The sequence below is a fragment of the Homo sapiens genome, chromosome 1, assembly GCF_000001405.40.
Source record: "Homo sapiens chromosome 1, GRCh38.p14 Primary Assembly".
Classification (NCBI taxonomy): domain Eukaryota; kingdom Metazoa; phylum Chordata; class Mammalia; order Primates; family Hominidae; genus Homo; species Homo sapiens.
The window spans coordinates 153,752,197-153,769,105 of NC_000001.11; the positions used below are offsets into that span (position 1 = coordinate 153,752,197).

A 16,909-nucleotide genomic window follows, 5' to 3' on the forward strand; every position below is an offset into this window, starting at 1 on the left:
GTTCCTTTGTCCTCCCTCCAGCAGGTAAACAATCCATGTTTTTATTCTCTTTCCTGTCCCCCACTTCCTCTTCCCTATCAAGTTCATGGAATGTCTGATGATTGGTCGGGATCTCGTAAGACTACTTCAGAATGTTGCTAGGATACCAGAATTTGAACTGCTTTGGAAAGATATTATCCATAATCCTCAGGCCTTGAGTCCTCAGTTCACAGGTAAGTAGGGTCTTAGGCATCCTGTCCTTGAGAGCTGGGAGTTCAATGTGTATGTCTTGCTTGAATCAAGAAGGTAGAGGTTGGTGGGTAGGAGAGTCTTTGGTGGTCAGATTTAGGAAGCCTGGGACAGGGCAAGCTTTGCCAAGTACAACTGCGAATGGCAGAGGTACAGAACAATTCATGTAGTTCCTAGACAGCCCCTACTTGGCAGACTCCAGCTGCCACATTACTACTAAGAAAAAAGTGAGACAGATAACTGTAGTCCTCCTCCCCTCTTCCTGGCAGCTCCTTGGCTCAGGAGGTGAGCCAGTGGCCAGTGTTCAGCTTCACGGAGTCTAGCAGGGGAGTCAGAGGTCAACTCGTGAGACTGAGTCAGTAGAGGGCTGGAATTAGTCCTGTAAGAGAAGGCCCCTCCCTGGGAACAGTCTTGCCTCGAATTCCAAGGATCCAGCTTGGGCAAAATCCACTTTGGAGGAGGGAGTCTCCGTGTGCCTCCTCCCGACAAGGTCCTTTTTATATCCCTTTCCCTTTCCCAGGGTCCTGCTATGTTCTGAACAATAACTGTACAGCTTTGCTCCCCACCCCACCTCAACACACACGTGCTTGTGATCGTGCATGCACCCGCTCCCCTCCTACACACACACACACACACACACACACACTCACTCTGAAGGCAGTTGTCCAGGACCTGGGAAGTCAGGAAAGAAGAAAGTGCTGGAAATTGTAGTACTCTTATATTGAACATCTATTTCATTGCTTTAAGTGCCTCCACTGTGTTAGACAAACATGTGTTACCTCATTTAATCTTCTGGACAGCCCTGTGAGTATTTTAGTTTCTACATTTATACATAAAGAAACTGAGGTTTGAGGCCGGGCGCGGTGGCTCACACCTGTAATCCCAGCACTTTGGGAGGCCGAGGCGGGCGGATCACGGGGTCAAGAGTTCAAGACCATCCTGGGCAACATGATGAAACCCTGTCTATACTAAAAATGCAAAAATTAGCTGGGCATGGTGGCACATGCCTGTATTCCCAGCTACTCGGGAGGCTGAGGCAAGAGAATCGCTTGAACCCAGGAGGTGGAGTTTGCAGTAAGCCGAGATCGCGCCACTGCACTCCAGCCTGGCGACAGAGTGAGACTCTGTCCCAAAAAAAAGAAAAGAAAAGAAAAGAAACTGAGGTTTAAGGAGATGAAGTAATTTGCCCAAGGCTGTACAGCTGGTAGGTTAGGTGACAGAGGCAGGTCTCTTTTTTTTTTTTTTTTTTGAGACGGAGTCTTGCTCTGTCCCTCAGGCTGGTGTGCAATGGCGTGATCTCAGCTCACTGCAACCTCCGCCTCCTGGGTTCAAGCGATTCTCCCGCCTCAGCCTCCCAGGTAGCTAGGATTACAGGCACCTGCCATCATGCCCAGGTAAATGTTGTATTTTTGTAGAGATGGAGTTTCACCATGTTGGCCAGGCTGGTCTTGAACTCCTGACCTCAAGCAATCCACCTGCCTTGGCCTCCCAAAGTGCTGAGATTACAGGCATGAGCCACCGCACCTGGCCTCTTTTTTTTTTTTTTTTTTTCTGTTTTTTAAGATGGGGTGTCACCATGTTGCCAAGGCTGGTCTTGAACTCGTAGGCTCAAGGGAGCCACCTGCCTCGGCCTCCCAAGGTGCTAGGATTACAGGTGTGAGCCACCATGCTGGTCTTTTAAATTATTTTTGTTCTCTCATGTCAGGCAGGTAATGTGGGGACATGGTAACAAGGTTTGAGGGAGGCACATCTCACGCATGAGTGTGAAAAACCAATAATCATGCTTATGAGCTACAATAGGATCTGGATCCACATGTTTCTGACTCCAGGGCTCATGCTCATGCCACAAATAACATTGATTCCAGGACCCAAGGATGGGATCATCAGGAGCAGGAAGAGCAGCCAGGGTTTCCCATATTTTTCCCTTAACTTTCCCATCTGTTACCAGTGGGAATCATGTGGGTAGGAGACTCTGGAAGACCAGCAGAAGACAGGAAGTAATATAGCTGGGTCCTGGGGATAGTGGTTGTTTGGAGCAGAACACGTAAGTGCTGGTTGGAATCCCCACCTGTGCTTGACCTCCCTTGGTCTTGTCTTGGAATTTCTCCGTGAGCAAGACTACTGGCCATCAGTACCTGGCCCAGGTTCCCAACATGCCTTTCATTCTTTCTGGTCCTTAGGCTTCCTCTTTTCTCTTCCCTTCCACATTTGATTCAGGTATCCTACAGCTTCTTCAGTCAAGAACATCCCGAAAATTCCTAGCATGTCGTCTAACCCCGGACATGGAGACTAAACTCCTCTTCATGACATCCCGGGTAAGCTAAGGTGTTGCAGCAAGAGAAGAGGTCACACGCTGGCTGGGCTTCTTGCTTCGGTCTGTGGAGCTGTTACCATTGTTTACTAACCAGTAGAATGGTGGCTAAATGATCGTACCTGATCTACCTGGCTACTGGCTTCTTTGTCCTTTATTCATTCTGTGCCTACATATTGAGCATGGTGCTAAGGATTGGGGGTACACTGTCGAATAAGAGAGATACAGTTCCAGCTGTTGTGAAGCTTTTAGTTTATCTAAAGTAGTCACTAAACCAATAATTATATAGAAATACTAGTATCATTTACAAGTGTGAAATATTCTATAAAGGGGAGAGTGAAAGTGTTCACGCTAAGAAACCCACGATTGCTCCAGGAGAACCATGAGGTCTCAGGAAGAAAGCTATGTATGTTTCCAGACTTGACTGAATAATGGCAGAATTACTTGAGCATGTTAAAGATGCAGCTTCCTGGATCCCACTCTCCTAGATAATTTGATTGAGGAATTTGTGGGGTTTTTTTTTTGGTTTTGTTTGTTTGTATTTTGAGATGGAGTTTCGTTCTTGTTGCCCAGGCTAGAGTGCAGTGGCGCGATCTCGGCTCTCCGCAGCCTCCGCCTGTTGGGTTCAAGTGATTCTCCTGCCTCAATCTCCCAAGTAGCTAGGATTACAGGCATGCACCACACCTGGCAAATTTTGTATTTTTAATAGAGACGGGATTTTTCCATGTTGGTCAGGCTGGTCTCGAACTTCCGACCTCAGGTGATCCACCTGCCTCAGCCTCCCAAAGTGCTGGGATTACAGGCGTGAGCCACTGCACCCAGCCAGAATCTGTTTTTAGCAGACTTCCCAGGCCATTCCTCTGCGGCCAGTCTGGCTGTCGAGAACTGCTTTCCTAATCAGCTTTCCCAAGTCACCCAGAATAATTGTCCAGGTCTGTGTTCTACTGTGTGGTAGCCACCAGCCATGTGTTGCCATTTAAATGTAAGTTAGTCTGCAGGACTAGGTATGATAAAAATTCTTGGCCGGACGCAGTGGCTTATGCCTGTAAACCCAGCACTTTGGGAGGCCAAGGTGGGCAGATCACTTGAGATCAGGAGTTTGGGACCACCCTGGCCAACGTGGTGAAACCCCGTCTCTACTAAAAATACAAACATTTCGCTGGGCGTGGTGGCACACGCCTGTAATCCCAGCTACTTGGGAGGCTGAGGCAGGAGAATCACTTGAACCCAGGAGGCAGAGGTTGCGATAAGCCAAGATTGCGCCACTGCACTCCAGCCTGGGCAACAGAGTGAAACGCTGTCTCAAAAAATATATATATATTAAGTTAGTTAAAATGAGTTAAAATTAAAAATTCACAGCTGGGCGCTGTGGCTCACATCTACAATCCCAGCACTTTGGGAGGCTGAGGCTGGTGGGAACACTTGAGGTCAGGAGTTCAAGACTAGCCGGGCAACATGATGAAACCGTGTCTCTACAAAAAATACAAAAATTAGCTGGGTGTGGTGGTAGCTACTCAGGAGGCTGAGGCAGGAGAATCACTTGAACCCAGACGCAGGAGGCAGAGGTTACAGTGAGCTGAGATCGTGCCACTGCACTCCAGCCTGGGCAACAGAATGAGATTCCATCTCAAACAACAACAAAAAAATTCAGAGCCTGGTGCAGTGGCATGTGCCTGTAATCCCAGCTTCTCAGGAGGCTGTGGTGGGAGGATTGCTTGAACCCAGGAGTTAGAGACCAGCCTGGGCTCAAGCAATCCTCCCATCAATGAGACCCTGTCTCTTAAAAAATAATAATTGGGGCCAAGTGCGGTGGCTCACGCCTGTAATCTCAGTACTTTGGGAGGCCAAGGCGGGTGGATCACTTGAGAGCAGGAGTTCGAGACCAGCCTGACCAACATGGTGAAACCCCGTCTCTACTAAAAATACAAAAATCAGCCAGGCATGGTGGCATGTGCCTGTAATCCCAACTACTTGGGAGGCTGAGGCAGGAGAATCGCTTGAACCTGGGAGACAGAGGTCGTAGTGAACTGAGATTGCACCATTGCACTCCAGCCTGGGCAACAAGAGTGAAACTCTGCCTCAAAAAAAATAAAATAAATAATAATTCGATATCTCAGTTACAATAGCTGCATTTCACATGCATAATAGCAACCATCATTGCCGAAAGTTCTGTTGGATGGTGTTGGTCTGGAAGTATCTTTTTGTTTGTTTTTTTACCTTTTTGCTTTATCTTGGTTGATTTCTTCTGACAGTTGGGGGAATATAAGAAGAGGGAAACCAGATCCTTTTCCTTATTTAGTGTTACTATTTGTGATCACTTAGGGTCTGTTTGAGGAAAAACTTTCCACAAGAAGGTTTGGAGAGTCTAGGCTTTGGATAATGGTCCTGCTAGGTCAGCACCAGGAAATTCTCAGTTGATGTTGAGTGGTGAACAGACCCAGCTCTTACTCTTGAAGAACATTTCTTGCTGTTCACCAGTGGCTCAAGAAAATGAGAAAAGGTTATACTTCTGACTGGAGAGTCAGTGACCAGTGCAAGGAGTAAAGAGCCAAAAACTGGACTGAAGTTGCAGTTGGGGGTAAATGTAGCCTGAGGTCAGTGGCAAGAATGACTGTAACATCAGAATGCAGGGCAAGCTAGAAATTTTCAGCATTTTTTTTTTAATCAAGAAGTTCTCCTAAAGGAGGGGAGACTTACGAGACAGTATGAGCTAATGAATGAATTGTGGAGAAATAGAGGTCTAGGGCAAACCTAGAGTTAAGTGGTGCTCGTTTTCCTCTGGCCAAGGACCCCACACTGTCTTCTAAGGTCTTTTTCTTGCTTCCCCTTTCCCCAGGTGCGATTTGGTCAACAAAAGCGATACCAAGATTGGTTCCAGCGCCAGTACCTGTCAACTCCAGATAGTCAGTCTCTGCGCTGTGACCTCATTCGCTACATCTGTGGGGTAGTCCACCCTTCTAATGAAGTACTGAGTTCAGATATCTTGCCCCGGTGGGCCATCATTGGTTGGCTCCTGACAACGTGCACGGTGAGGGCAAAAGATACTGGGTGGTGAAGGGTGCCTCTTCCATGGTGTTCCCATGTTTCCATTCTTCTTCCTGACTCCAGGGCCACTTGACCCCTAAGGGCCCTTCTTTCACTCTGGTCTTCCAGAGTGTCTCAGCCTTCACTTCCCTTTGTGTCTCTAGAAATTTACTTACACTCATTATTTTCCATCTGGGTTTGAGATTGAACAGGTTCATCTCCCCCATTACTGCCAACCCCCAAAAGCCTGGGTTTCTGGAGCGTCCCTGCCTTTTTCATTTTTGCTTCCAGAAACCATATACAGCTATTCCTCTTAACTGTTTCTTTCTCAGATTCAGAGCTTGCATTCTTTAGACCCTCACCACCATGCCTTTTTGGCATCAGCTTTGTCTACTTCCCTTCTGTAAATGCAGCGAATCTGCAGTGGAGGCATTTCCTTTCAAATGTTTTCCTCTCTGTGCCTAGGGTGGGAAACTATCCATTCTCTGGCATCTGGCTGCCCCCTGACCTCTTCCAACAGGGTTCCTCCTCCCCCATTTGACTGGGTCCTTGGAATGTGCTGATTCAGATATGACAACAGGCTATTCCTGGAGGGGTGGGGGTCTCTTCTTCAGGAATGTGCCTGGAGAGCCCAGAAAGGGCAGCCAAGGGGTGCTAGTCTGACTGTTGCCTCAGCTCAGGGGTGATGAGTGGACTTCTGAGTCCAAGCATTGTCCCCTATGGGAATCAGAGATATGAACTGCTGGATGTATCAAGAACCCAGGCCTGCCGAGCACGGTGGCTCACGCCTGTAATCCCAGCACTTTGGGAGGTTGAGGTGGGCAGATTGCTTGAGCTCAGGAGTTTGAGACCAGCCTGGGCAACATGGCAAGACCCCATCTCTACAAAAAAATACAAAAATTAGCCAAGTGTGTTGGTGTGCGGCTGTAGTCCCAGGCTGAGGTGAGAGGACCGCTTGAGCCTGGGAGGTAGAGGTTGCAGTGAGCTGAGATCCTGCCACTGCACTCCAGCCTGGGTGACAGAGTCAGACCCTGTCTCAACAACAAAAAGAAAAGAACCCAGGCCTGGCCAGGCATGGTGGCTCTCACCTATAATCCCAATACTTTGGGAGGCTGAGGTGGGAGGATCACTTGAGCCCAGGAGTTCAAGACCAGCCTGGGCAACATGGCAAAACCCATCTCTACCAAAACAAAACAAAACAAAACATAAAGCCACGCATGGTGGTGTGCTCCTGTAGTCCCAGCTACCAAGGAGGCTGAGGCTGGGAGGATCACCCGAGCCTAAGAGGTCAAGGCTGGAGTAAGCCGTGATCATGCCACTGCGCTCCAGCCTGGGTGACATGGCAAGACCCTCATCTCTACAAAAAAATAGAAAAATGAGCCAGGTGAGGTGGTGCGTGCCTGTAGTCCCAGGCTGAGGTGAGAGGCTCTCTCGAGCCTGGGCGGTGGAGGTTGCAGTGAGCTGAGATCATGCCACTGCACTACAGCCTGGGCAACAGAGCAAGACCCTGTCTGGAAAAAAAAAAAAAAAGGTTCGGGGGGTACCTGGCCCAATCCCTGTCCTCTGTCCTCTTGGTTAAGACCATAAGACCACAGAGTATTCACTCATACACAACACAAGGGGGGTTAGCATTTCACCGTGTTTCACTAGGAACTGAATTTCATAGATGAAACAGCCAAGTGGGGCCTGGAATCTGTCTTGGGACTCTGAAATGGAGGGGGGTGATTGATGAAACTAGCCCTCTGTTTCTCCCCTCTCTTTTCCAGTCAAATGTCGCTGCCTCCAATGCCAAGCTGGCTTTGTTTTATGACTGGCTGTTCTTTAGTCCAGACAAGGATAGCATTATGAACATAGGTATGTGACCAAGACCAGGCGGCTCCACTTCCCCATCCCCCTAAGCCCCCACTGCCTTCCTTAGTGATAGCAGTCATAAATCTCAGGGCACCGTGGAGTGGAGGCAGTTTATCTGGGAGCAGCTCTGTTGTTCCTCATCAGTTTTCCCTTGACCTAGAAAGAGAATTGCTTTGATAAGGCTAAGCCATCACTGTACCTCCTCCCCACAGTCTTCAGGATGCATGGTCTTCAGGAGGGGAGGGCATGGGCAAAGGAAAAGGCTGTACCATGTCCTGCTTCTCCTCACCTATTACTTCCCTTCTCAAAGCTGAATGCTGGGAACAAGAAGGGAAATGAGGGCTACAAGCTGTTTCGGGGCCTGTCTGCTCTTGGGTCTGCTCAGTGGAAATGGGGGGAATAGACATAGCACTTCCCAGAGCCATTCATGTATATTGACATCCCATTTTATGGAGATAGAAACAGACTGACTTTAGCCTGGCGTGGTGGCGCACACCTGTAATTCCAGCTGCTGGGGAGGTTGAGGCATGAGATTCGCTTGAACCTGGGAGGCAGAGGCTTCAGTGAGCTGAGATCGTACCATTTGCACTCCAGCCTGGGTGACAGAGCAAGACTCTGTTTCAAAAAAAAAAAAAAAAAAAAAAAAAAGAGAGAGAGAGACTGACTGATGTGAGGGGCTCTTTAATTTCACATCCTCCAGAACCAGCCATCCTGGTCATGCACCACTCCATGAAGCCCCACCCAGCCATCACTGCCACACTCCTGGACTTCATGTGCCGCGTAAGTGTTAGAGCTCTCTTTTCTCCCCATGCCTGGATGAGCAGAATTCAGTGTATCTCCCCTAATCTCCCAGTGAACGGGTCTTCTCGGTATGCCTTGACTGAGAGCAGAAATGGTCATGGGTCCTATCCCCCAAGTTAATAAATGCTTCCCTTCCATATTCCACTGTCTGCACTTGGATCTTCCCATTTTCTGTGGGGTTTCTCAATCACAAGGATGGTGACTCAAGGTAGAATCTGGTTTCCTTGGGGAGCAGCCAGGTCCAGTAAGAATTTCTCATTTGAGTGGCCTGGAGTGGTCAGGAAGTCCAGTTCTCTCTGCAGCCATACTCCCCAGTGTCCCCTGATCAAAACCAAAGCAGCTTTTCAGATCTAATTCAGCGGAAGCCTCTGGATGGAGTCCTGTGCTCATTTTTCCCCTCCTTCTTCGCTTCCAGATCATTCCCAACTTCTATCCACCATTGGAGGGCCACGTGCGGCAGGGTGTCTTTTCCTCCCTCAACCACATTGTGGAGAAACGGGTCTTGGCGTAAGGAATTTGGTGGGGGAAGGAGGTTGTTTTCCCATTTTTCATTAGGTCCAGGTGTATCCAAATGTTGCCATAGCACTGCTGGCCCTTTTCTCTGACAGGTGTAAAAAGTATTGGCTCTACCTCAGACTGCTGGGCATATGTCTTCTTGGCTCTTAGAGGAATTTCTCTCCTGCCATCGTATTACAAAGGTCTTCAAATGCCTTCATGTTCCCTGTTGACCCCCTTCAGGGATCTGAGTATGGTCCAGTTAGACTGATTGTGCTTAGACCTATCTCAACTCCATGTTGAGTTAGAAATGAGAAGCTCTGGCCAGACACAGTGGCTCATGCCTGTAATCCCAGCACTTTGGGAGGCCAAGGTGGGCAGATCACCTGAGGTTAGGAATTTGAGACCTGCCTGGCCAACATGGCAAAACCCGTGTCTACTAAAAATACAAAAATTAGCCAGGTGTGATGGTGCACACCTGTAATCCTAGCTACTTGAGAGGCTGAGGCACAAGAATCGCTTGAATCCGGGAGGTGGAGGTTGCAGTGAGCCGAGATTGTGCCACTGCACTCCAGCCTAGGTGATGAGAGTGACACTCTGTCTCAAAAAAAAATAAAAATAAGAGAAGCTCTGATATTGACCTTCATCATGTTCCCCATTTAGACACCTAGCTCCCCTGTTTGACAACCCTAAGTTGGATAAGGAGCTGCGGGCAATGCTGAGAGAGAAGTTTCCTGAGTTCTGCAGCTCACCCTCCCCACCTGTGGAAGGTATGAGGCCCGCCCATTCCATCACCTGTGTCAAAAGAGGGGCAAGACAACCAGGCCTTCAGGCCAGAGCCCCTTTCAGGATGTCCCACACAGTTCTCCACTTCCGTGACACTGTCCATCACAGTTTTTCCTTCCTCAGTTTATCTTTTTTATTCATTTTTGTGTTGTCTGTCTTGATTCTCTTGCTTTATCTAATCTTATTTGACTTGCTCATCTTTCTTGTTCTCTTAACTCTTTTCTCCTAGTAACTCCTGCTCAGTAGTTAGAAGGCTTTCATGTAATATTTACAATATTTATCTCACTTTAACTTGCCCATCTCTCTTCCCAGCTCTAGGCCCTGGCCTCTGATGACAGTTTGTCATGTTGGGCCTCAAACCTTACTCTCAATACAACTGCCATCTCCTTACCACACATACACACTTTGTTTTGGGATAAGGGTCTAAGTCAAGTAGTATTTTCCAACTTGGTTTTAAATTAAAGAGCACTTGGAGGCTGGGCATGGTGGCTCATGCCTGTAATCCCAGTACTTTGGGAGGCTGAGGCGGGTGGATCACTTGAGGTCAGGAGTTCAAGACCAGCCTGGCCAACATCATGAAACTCCGTCTCTACTAAAATACAAAAAAATTTGTATTTGGCGGGCACCTGTAGTCCCAGCTACTCAGAAGGCTGAGACATGAGAATTACGTGAACCTGGGACGGGGAGGTTGCAGTGAGCCGAGATGGCGCCACTGCACTCCAGCCCAGGCGACAAGAGTGAGACTAGCACTTCGGACTGTCCCTGATCTTACTCTAGTTACCAATCCTAATGAGCTGAGCATAGAGGAGTCATGTCCAGTGTTGCTCTTATTCCTGGCAACATCCCTCTGCAGGTCATGGAGGGTTGTGAGGACAAGAGGTTTGTCAAGAGGTTTGTCCTCCCAGGGTCAGTATTCCATTTAGATGATAAACTCCTTATTCTCTCACTTGCCCTCCATTCTCCCTTCCTAGAAGCATGGGGCATGTTAGAGGACCCAGGAGGCCATTAAATGCCTTATCTTTTTTTACTCCCAAGTCAAAATTGAGGAGCCAGTTTCCATGGAGATGGACAACCATATGTCGGATAAGGATGAGAGTTGCTATGACAATGCAGAGGCAGCCTTCAGTGACGATGAAGAGGATCTCAACAGCAAAGGTGAGGCCATCAGCAAGGGCTAGTTCAGGGTTGTGTCAGCCCTGAGAGGACCAGTTCCCAGAAGCAGCCTCTCTGCACTCTTCCTGTCACCCTTATTCCTGTGAGTTAAAGTTTTGTTCACAGGGTATCTGGATGAGACTCCAGAATGCAGAGCCCTGTACTTAACACTCAAGGCAGGAAGGAAAAAAGAAGTGGTTCCTGCCCTTGTTTGCTTGTAAGAGCTAGTACATGTGCACAGTCAGGGAGATGCTTCAGGCACTCACACAGCATTGAGGAAACAGGTGCACACTTAGGGCATGTGAGGAAGGGGATAAGTCATTGAGGGGACTGTCTCTGTTGCTGGCATCTGGGCAAACTGACTTCTTTCCCAAATCACTCCCTTTAGGAAAGAAGAGGGAGTTTCGCTTCCACCCTATCAAGGAGACAGTTGTGGAGGAGCCAGTTGATATCACCCCTTACCTTGACCAGTTGGATGAGTCCCTGAGGGACAAAGTACTCCAGCTACAGAAGGGGAGGTGGGTACAGACCTTGTTCTCAACTTCAGGAGGTTCAGCCCCAGGCTCTCTACCTGGTGCTTAATGGGTATAGCAGGAGATGGGGGTTGGAGGCAAACATGATAGGAGTGTGTGGAGAGGTAGCTGAAGCTTCATGAGGGAGTTCTTCTGCACTTTACGTTAGGGAGTATGAGCTGGGAGTGGGGCAGCCTCATTCCGTAACACCTTGAGTTCCCACTCTGCAGATTCTTGGGAGAAGAACCTCTGAGAACCAAGGCAGGATTGGTGGGGATTTTCCTTTTCTTTGGGCCTCTGCCCAGAGAGCAGCCAATTCTGCCCTAAAGCCTCCCCATCCAAGCTGGGATTTTACACAGAGCTCCTTTGTTTTGTCTCTGTGCATGTGAGTGTGCTTGTGCACTGTTCTGGGTGTGTGTCCTGCCCTCTGCTATCATTTATGTCCCTGGGATTTCCTCTCATTTCTGTCCTGCAGTGATACGGAGGCCCAGTGTGAGGTCATGCAGGAAATTGTGGACCAGGTCCTGGAGGTGAGGAGGAACCCAATCCCTTAGGGAGGAAGCAGCCTAGCCTGCTTAGCTTACACGTCTCCCAGGGAAGACAACTCACTTTTTCCCTCCCCTAGATGAGTCCCTCTTATAGTGGGGAGGGGAGCTTGCTGATCCTGGAGGTGGAAGCAGATGAGTTCCAAGACTGGGATCGTGGGGGCAGGAGGGCTTGGGTGTAGGTAGTGACTCTCCCTCCCTTGTCTCATCACCCAGGAAGACTTTGACTCGGAGCAGCTGTCTGTCCTTGCTTCCTGCCTACAGGAGCTCTTCAAGGCCCACTTTCGAGGGGAGGTCCTGCCTGAGGAGATTACTGAGGAGTAAGGCTGATTTTCCCTCACTCCAGAGCCTCAGGAGCCAGAGGGTGCTCTTACAGCCTGAGTCCAAGAGACCCCTTACTGTAGACTTGAGAAAAATCTGTTCACTTGGTGTTTTTATTCTCACATGTACCAACTCATTTAAACAAGAGCTTATTTCTACCTGCTGAACACCGTGCGTACTGGGGAGGTTGACACCTCCTCATGCTTCCAGCCCTTGCTGCTGGGCCCAGTAACTCTAATCTGCTGAATTAGGTGTGATTGGACCTTGGCCTGGAGCCTGTCTCCAAAGGGCAAGAGCGTGGTCCCATGTTAGGAACCTGTTTTCTCTGTTACCAAGCCTGCGGAGCAGCAGGAAGTTTGCCTTTTGGGTAGGGAAGGAGCAGGCTGGTGTCTAGCCTCCAGCTGGTCCTCCGTATGTGCCAGCAGCCCCCCTCACATGGATTCTCAAATATAACCCTCTTCTTGTAGGTCCCTGGAGGAGTCTGTAGGAAAGCCTCTGTACCTAATATTTAGGTAAGCACGCAGCTATAGGAGATACTGTTCTACCCTCCATCCTCCCTGACAGCACACACATGTGCTCCTGTCCTGGGGTAATGGGACTCGCTTTCCAGGGAGGAGGACATATGCTGTGGGCACAGACAGCCCATGCCACCTGAGAAACTCCATGGGAGAGTCTGCCCTGGGTAAAGTTCTGTTCCTCTCCTCCCATGCCCCACCTCCAGGAACCTATGTCAGATGCAGGAAGACAACAGCAGCTTCTCTCTACTTCTAGACCTTCTCTCCGAGCTATATCAGAAGCAGCCCAAGATTGGCTACCACCTGCTCTACTACCTGAGGGCCAGGTGGGTATGGTCCCCATGTTTCAAATGGTGTCAGGACACATCCTGGAGAGCCTCTCTTCCACACGCTGACTCCCCAACCCTGGACTGTCATCACCAGGGCCTTCTTTGTGGGTCTGTTTGGTTGAGTTGGTTTGTTTTTAAGAGACAGCATCTCACTCTGTCACCTGATGACACTGCGGCTCAGTGCATGTCACTCACTGCAGCTTCAGACTCCTGGGCTCAAGCCATCCTCCCCCCTCAGCATCCTGAGTAGCTGGGACTACACAGGCATGCACTACCATGCCCAGATAATTTTTTAAAATTTTTTTGTAGAGACAGGGTCTTACTTTGTTGCCCAGGATGGTCTCAAACTCCTGGGCTCAAGTGATGGTCCTGCTTCAGCCTCCTGAGTAGCTAGGATTACATACAGGCATGCGCCATCACGCCCAGTTATTGGTTTTGGGTTTTTTTTTCCCCTACTCTGAGTAAGCCTTGTGTACTCCTAAGGCTTTTTTTTAATTTAAATTTTTATTTATTTATTTTTTGAGACAGGGTCTCACTCAGTCACCCAGGCTGGAGTGCAGTGGTACAATCTCAGCTCACTGCAACTTCCACCTCCCGGGTTCAAGCAATTCTCCCACCTCAGCCTCCCAAGTAGCTAGGACTACAGGCACCCACCACCACGCCCAGCTAAGTTTTGTATTTTTAGTAGAGACAGGGTTTCTCTGTGTTGGTCAGGCTGGTCTCGAACTCCCGACCTCAGGTGATCCACCCACCTTGGCCTCCCAAAGTGCTGGGATTACAGGTGTGAGCCACTGTGCCCGGCCTCAATAATTTTTTAGTATATTCACAAAGTTATACAACTATCACTACTATCTGATTTAGAAAGAACATTTTTATCACCCCAAAAAGAAATCTCATACTCATTAGCAATCACTTTGCCATTTTCTCCCCTTCACCCAGCTCTTGGCAACCACTGATCTGCTTTCTGCCTCTATAGATTATTTTGGACATTTTCAGATAAATGGAATCAAACTGTATGTGATCTTTTGTGACTTGCTTTTTTCTTTCTCTTTTTTTTTTTTTTTTTTTTTTTTGAGACAGAGTCTCGCTGTGTCGCCCAGGCTGGAGTACAGTGGTGCGATCTTGGCTCACTGCAACCTCCGCTTCCCAGGTTCAAGCGATTCTCCTGCCTCAGCCTCCCGAGTAGCTGGGATTACAGGCACAGATCTTCACGCCCAGCTAATTTTTGTTTTGTTTATTTGTTTGTTTTGAGATGGATTCTTGCTCTGTCACCCAGGCTGGAGTACAGTGGTATGATCGCAGCTCATTGCAACCTCCGCCTCCTGGGTTCAAGCAATTCTCCTGCCTTAGCCTCCCGAGTAGCTGGGACTACAGGTGCACGCCACCACATCCAGTTAATTTTTGTATTTTTTTGTAGAGATGGGGTTTCACTGTGTTGGCCAGGCTGGTCTCGAACTCCTGACCTCAGGTGATCTGCCCACCTCGGCCTCTCAAAGTACTAGGATTATAGACGTGAGCCACCGGGCCCAGCCATTTGTATATTTTCTTTGGAGAAATATCTATTCAAAAATGTTCCTATTTTTAATTGAGTTATTTGTCTTTTTATTATTGACTTTTAAGATTTTTTTTTTTTTTTTTTTTGAGGCAGAGTCTCGCTCTGCTGCCCAGACTGGAGTGCAGTGGCGCGAGCTCCACTCACTGCAACCTCCGCATGCTAGGTTCCAGCAATTCTCCTGCCTCAGCCTGCTGAGTAGCTGAAATTACAGGCGCACACCACCACGCCCGGCTAACTTTTTGTGTGTGTATTTTTAGTAGAGACAGGGTTTCACCATGTTGGCCAGGCTGGTTGGCCAGGCTGGTCTTGAACTTCTGACCTCAGGTGATCCGCCCTTCTCTGCCTCCCAAAGCGCTGGGATTACAGGCATGAGCCACCATACCCGGCCAACTTTCAAGAATGTTTTTAAGATTTTGTTGCATACCAAAAGTGTTCTTTATATATTCTGGATGCAAGTCTCAGACATAATGATTTGCAAATATTTTTTCTTCCATTCTGCGAGTTTTAACTTTTTTGATAGCATCTTTTGAACAAAAAGTGCTAACTTTTTATGAAGCTAAATTTGTCTATTTTTTTCTTTTACCACTTGTGTTTTTGTTGTCATGAAGATTTACTCCTGTTTTCTCTTCTACAAGTTGTGTGGCTTTAATTCTTACATTTAGGCCTACAAGCCATTTTGAGCTAAGTTTGTATATGCTGTGAGGTGTCACTGCCCTCATGGTTAGAGCCCAGAAAGCAAGAGAGAAAGCCTTCTCCAGCCTGACCTGAGCCCTCCCTCTTCTGTTCCTGACTCTCATCCGGCAGTAGCTTCACTCACTGATCGTGGTTGGAGCCCTTTTGAGCTCTGGGGAAGGATGGACAGAAAGAAGAGTATCCCCTGGTTCCCCTGAGTTATCAAGCCCCTGTGGGAGGCAGTTGGGAGGGACATGAGGCAGATTAGCACAGGGCATCTGGAGCCAGCAAAGCAGTTTTAGAGCGGGAGCCTGCTTCGGGGATGCTTGAAGGTGGGCACTGGGGTCAGGCTGCTGGCTCAGGCCCAGCTGGTCTTGCAGCAAAGCCGCCGCAGGGAAGATGAACCTGTACGAGTCATTTGCCCAGGCTACCCAGCTGGGCGATCTGCACACCTGCCTGATGATGGACATGAAGGCCTGCCAGGAGGACGATGTGCGGCTCCTGTGCCACCTCACGCCCTCCATCTACACAGAGGTCAGTGCCTGCATCCGTATCTGTGCCGGGGGGCTCACAGGAACACACCTCAGTGAACACTCTGAGTACACACAACCCTGAACCCTCTTTTGTTCATCCCCACTAACCTAGGTGGGCCATTGCTTCCCACACTCACAGCTGTCCCCTCCTTCCACTTCTCTTTATTAGTGGTTGAAACATTTCTAAAACTCCCTGAATTCCTATACTTTGGTGTAACTGATGTGCGTTGGGGTCTGAGCCTATATACTTGGCTTCTCAGATTGGGCCCCATCATCTGGACCCAGGACAGATCCCACAAACCAGATCCATGTTCATATGTCCCAGGCCCTCTTGTCCTCTGATGGCTCACCCTTGCTTGGATTCTCTCTGATAGTTCCTGATGACCAGGGCTTCTGTAGTGGAGACTCACTTTCATTTCCCCTGGTTCACTCACACTCTAGGAACTGGGACATAACAGGTATCGGCCCTTTCTCCTCTTGGTAGAAGTTCCCAGGAAGAGGGAAATAAGGACCCAGGGCATGACAGGAGGAACTGTGATCTCAGCCGAGTACTGGAGGGAGGAGGGGTGCAGATCCTGGACACAGGGTACTTTCCTCCCCCTTCTCTAGATGAGGCCCTGCCTACCCCACACACCTCCAGACATAAACTCTCTACACCACCTCTTTGGCCAAAGGTCAGCACAGGTTGGACTTCTTTGCTGCCAGGGATGCAAATATTTATTCTACCACTGCTCCCACACAGAATCAGCCACCATGGCCAGTCCTCTCAGCTCTGGCTTTATCTCTAGTAGTTCCCCATTCCTTTCTGTACACACATGCTTTGGGAAGTATCAGAGAAAACCCACACCCCTGATGGTGTGCACACATAAATAACAAAACTTGGGGGCTTCAAGTTCTTGAAGTCTTCCAGCATCATAGCTGTTGGATCTCTGTTTAGGGGTTTATTTTAGGGCCTGTGTCTGGCTGACCCAGTCAAACCTTGAGATGTAATAAGGAAGGAGAGTGGGCTATGGGATAAAAGCTGAGGAGCCCATCCAGGACTCTTCCCCTCTCTTTTTCCATTTAGTTTCCAGATGAAACCTTGAGGAGCGGAGAGCTGCTGAACATGATCGTGGCTGTTATTGACTCTGCACAGGTGAACATTGAGCTCTGACCTCCCCAGAAGATCTGGGAGGCAGCATTAGGGACATAGGGCCTCTGCTCTCCCTCCAGGCCTGCAGACAGGGAGCCCATGCCTCCCAGGCACCCTCCCTCCTGGCTACAGTGGTGTGCGCTTTCA

At 48.9% G+C, this 16,909-nt stretch overlaps 1 protein-coding gene and 1 non-coding gene across 3 annotated transcripts in view; one reads left to right on the top strand and one right to left on the bottom strand.

Moving 5' to 3' along the window:
- INTS3 (integrator complex subunit 3) overlaps positions 1-16,909 on the top strand; it is a 46,759-nt gene that overhangs the window by 24,147 nt on the left and 5,703 nt on the right. For both annotated transcript variants that reach the window (NM_023015.5, NM_001324475.2), the window contains 15 exons: positions 83-212; positions 2,446-2,543; positions 5,376-5,567; positions 7,330-7,417; positions 8,115-8,194; positions 8,631-8,722; positions 9,374-9,480; positions 10,532-10,651; positions 11,037-11,166; positions 11,636-11,690; positions 11,922-12,025; positions 12,494-12,538; positions 12,748-12,867; positions 15,478-15,631; positions 16,697-16,765. In NM_023015.5, the coding sequence (NP_075391.3) occupies positions 83-212; positions 2,446-2,543; positions 5,376-5,567; positions 7,330-7,417; positions 8,115-8,194; positions 8,631-8,722; positions 9,374-9,480; positions 10,532-10,651; positions 11,037-11,166; positions 11,636-11,690; positions 11,922-12,025; positions 12,494-12,538; positions 12,748-12,867; positions 15,478-15,631; positions 16,697-16,765 (1,584 nt within the window). The remainder of the gene's footprint in view (positions 1-82; positions 213-2,445; positions 2,544-5,375; positions 5,568-7,329; positions 7,418-8,114; positions 8,195-8,630; positions 8,723-9,373; positions 9,481-10,531; positions 10,652-11,036; positions 11,167-11,635; positions 11,691-11,921; positions 12,026-12,493; positions 12,539-12,747; positions 12,868-15,477; positions 15,632-16,696; positions 16,766-16,909) is intronic.
- LOC124904820 (small nucleolar RNA U13) lies at positions 1,928-2,031 on the bottom strand. The gene has a single exon (XR_007067416.1). It is a non-coding gene; the product is annotated as a small nucleolar RNA U13 (small nucleolar RNA).